This window comes from Homo sapiens, chromosome 1, assembly GCF_000001405.40.
Source record: "Homo sapiens chromosome 1, GRCh38.p14 Primary Assembly".
Lineage (NCBI taxonomy): Eukaryota > Metazoa > Chordata > Mammalia > Primates > Hominidae > Homo > Homo sapiens.
Window position 1 is genome coordinate 90,059,620 of NC_000001.11, and position 3,761 is coordinate 90,063,380.

Sequence of the window (3,761 nt, forward strand, 5' to 3'; positions counted from 1 at the left end):
GCATCCCAGGGATGAAGCCACTTGATCATGGTGGATAAGCTTTTTGATGTGCTGCTGGATTCGGTTTGCCAGTATTTTATTGAGGATTTTTGCATCAATGTTCATCAAGGATATTGGTCTAAAATTCTCTTTTTTGGTTGTGTCTCTGCCCGGCTTTGGTATCAGAATGATGCTGGCCTCATAAAATGAGTTAGGGAGGATTCCCTCTTTTTCTATTGATTGGAATAGTTTCAGAAGGAATGGTACCAGCTCCTCCTTGTACCTCTGGTAGAATTTGGCTGTGAATCCATCTGGTCCTGGACTCTTTTTGGTTGGTAAGCTATTGATTATTGCCACAATTTCAGATCCTGTTATTGGTCTATTCAGAGATTCAACTTCTTCCTGGTTTAGTCTTGGGAGAGTGTATGTGTCAAGGAATTTATCCATTTCTTCTAGATTTTCTAGTTTATCTGCGTAGAGGTGTTTGTAGTATTCTCTGATGGTAGTTTGTATTTCTGTGGGATCGGTGGTGATATCCCCTTTATCATTTTTTATTGCGTCTATTTGATTCTTCTCTCTTTTTTTCTTTATTAGTCTTGCTAGAGGTCTATCAATTTTGTTGATCCTTTCAAAAAACCAGCTCCTGGATTCATTAATTTTTTGAAGGGTTTTTTGTGTCTCTATTTCCTTCAGTTCTGCTCTGATTTAGTTATTTCTTGCCTTCTGCTAGCTTTTGAATGTGTTTGCTGTTGCTTTTCTAGTTCTTTTAATTGTGATGTTAGGGTGTCAATTTTGGATCTTTCCTGCTTTCTCTTGTGGGTATTTAGTGCTATAAATTTCCCTCTACACACTGCTTTGAATGCGTCCCAGAGATTCTGGTATGTTGTGTCTTTGTTCTCGTTGGTTTCAAAGAACATCTTTATTTCTGCCTTCATTTCGTTATGTACCCAGTAGTCATTCAGGAGCATGTTGTTCAGTTTCCATGTAGTTGAGCGGTTTTGAGTGAGATTCTTAATCCTGAGTTCTAGTTTGGTTGCACTGTGGTCTGAGAGATAGTTTGTTATAATTTCTGTTCTTTTACATTTGCTGAGGAGAGCTTTACTTCCAAGTATGTGGTCAATTTTGGAATAGGTGTGGTGTGGTGCTGAAAAAAATGTATATTCTGTTGATTTGGGGTGGAGAGTTCTGTAGATGTCTATTAGGTCTGCTTGGTGCAGAGCTGAGTTCAATTCCTGGGTATCCTTGTTGACTTTCTGTCTCGTTGATCTGTCTAATGTTGACAGTGGGATGTTAAAGTCTCCCATTATTAATGTGTGGGAGTCTATGTCTCTTTGTAGGTCACTCAGGACTTGCTTTATGAATCTGGGTGCTCCTGCATTGGGTGCATATATATTTAGGATAGTTAGCTCTTCTTGTTGAATTGATCCCTTTACCATTATGTAATGGCCTTCTTTGTCTCTTTTGATCTTTATTGGTTTAAAGTCTGTTTTATCAGAGACTGGGATTGCAACCCCTGCCTTTTTTTGTTTTCCATTTGCTTGGTAGATCTTCCTCCATCCTTTTATTTTGAGCCTATGTGTGTCTCTGCACGTGAGATGCGTTTCCTGAATACAGCACACCGATGGGTCTTGAGTCTTTATCCAATTTGCCAGTCTGTGTCTTTTAATTGGAGCATTTAGTCCATTTACATTTAAAGTTAATATTGTTCTGTGTGAATTTGATCCTGTCATTATGATGTTAGCTGGTTATTTTGCTCGTTAGTTGATGCAGTTTCTTCCTAGTCTCGATGGTCGTTACATTTTGGCATGACTTTGCAGCGGCTGGTACCGGTTGTTCCTTTCCACGTTTAGCGCTTCCTTCAGGAGCTCTTTTAGGGCAGGCCTGGTGGTGACAAAATCTCTCAGCATTTGCTTGTCTGTAAAGTATTTTATTTCTCCTTCACTTATGAAGCTTAGTTTGGCTGGATATGAAATTCTGGGTTGAAAATTCTTTTCTTTAAGAATGTTGAATATTGGCCCCCACTCTCTTCTGGCTTATAGGGTTTCTGCCGAGAGATCCGTTGTTAGTCTGATGGGCTTCCCTTTGAGGGTATCCCGACCTTTCTCTCTGGCTGCCCTTAACATTTTTTCCTTCATTTCAACTTTGGTGAATCTGACAATTATGTGTCTTGGTGTTGCTCTTCTTGAGGAGTATCTTTGTGGTGTTCTCTGTATTTCCTGAATCTGAACGTTGGCCTGCCTTGCTAGATTGGGGAAATTCTCCTGGATAATATCCTGCAGAGTGTTTTCCAACTTGGTTCCATTCTCCCCATCACTTTCAGGTACACCAATCAGACGTAGATTTGGTCTTTTCACATAGTCCCATATTTCTTGGAGGCTTTGCTCATTTCCTTTTATTCTTTTTTCTCTAAACTTTCCTTCTCGCTTCATTTCATTCATTTCATCTTCCATTGCTGATACCCTTTCTTCCAGTTGATCACATCGGCTCCTGAGGCTTCTGCATTCTTCACGTAGTTCTCGAGCCTTGGTTTTCAGCTCCATCAGCTTCTTTAAGCACTTCTCTGTATTGGTTATTCTAGTTATACATTCTTCTAAATTTTTTTCAAAGTTTTCAACTTCTTTGCCTTTGGTTTGAATGTCCTCCCATAGCTCAGAGTAATTTGATCGTCTGAAGCCTTCTTCTCTCAGCTCGTCAAAGTCATTCTCCATCCAGCTTTGTTCCGTTGCTGGTGAGGAGCTGCATTCCTTTGGAGGAGGAGAGGCGCTCTGATTTTTAGAGTTTCCAGTTTTTCTATTCTGTTTTTTCCCCATCTTTGTGGTTTTATCTACTTTTGGTCTTTGATGATGGTGATGTACGGATGGGTTTTTGGTGTGGATGTCCTTTCTGTTTGTTAGTTTTCCTTCTAACAGACAGGACCCTCAGCTGCAGGTCTGTTGGAGTACCCTGCAGTGTGAGGTGTCAGTGTGCCCCTGCTGGAGGGTGCCTCCCAGTTAGTCTGCTCGGGGGTCAGGGGTCAGGGACCCACTTGAGGAGGCAGTCTGCCCCTTCTCACGTCTCCAGCTGCATACTGGGAGAACCACTGCTCTCTTCAAAGCTGTCAGACAGGGACATTTAAGTCTGCAGAGGTTACTGCTGTCTTTTTGTTTGTCTGTGCCCTGCCCCCAGAGGTGGAGCCTACAGAGGCAGGCAGGCCTCCTTGAGCTGTGGTGGGCTCCACCCAGTTCGAGCTTCCCGGCTGCTTTGTTTACCTAAGCAAGCCTGGGCAATGGCGGGCGCCCCTCCCCCAGCCTCGCTGCCGCCTTGCAGTTTGATCTTAGACTGCTGTGCTAGCAATCAGCGAGACTCCATGGGGTAGGACCCTCGGAGCCAGGTGAGGGATATAATCTCGTGGTGCGCCGTTTTTTAAGCCCGTCGGAAAAGCGCAGTATTCGGGTGGGAGTGACCCGATTCTCCAGGTGCGGTCCGTCACCCCTTTCTTTGATTAGGAAAGGGAACTCCCTGACCCCTTGCACTTCCCGAGTGAGGCAATGCTTCGCCCTGCTTCGGCTCGTGCACGATGCGCGCACACACTGTCCTGTGCCCACTGTCTGGCACTCCCTAGTGAGATGAACCCGGTACCTCAGATGGAAATGCAGAAATCACCCGTCTTCTGCGTTGCTCAGGCTGGGAGCTGTAGACTGGAGCTGTTCCTATTCGGCCATCTTGGCTCCTGCCACTCAACTATATTATTTTATTATTTAAGGGCAATGTTTTGAGTAGTCCATACGCTCTATCAGACTATC

The 3,761-nt window shown here is 43.7% G+C and overlaps 1 annotated feature.

Moving 5' to 3' along the window:
• Positions 2,977 to 3,483: an enhancer, noted in NCBI's record as "NANOG-H3K27ac-H3K4me1 hESC enhancer chr1:90528154-90528660 (GRCh37/hg19 assembly coordinates)". NCBI's record gives its function as "activates a minimal SCP1, AML or CMV promoter by ChIP-STARR-seq in naive H9 embryonic stem cells {active_cell/tissue: H9 hESC(naive)}" and the evidence as "EXISTENCE:reporter gene assay evidence [ECO:0000049][PMID:30033119]".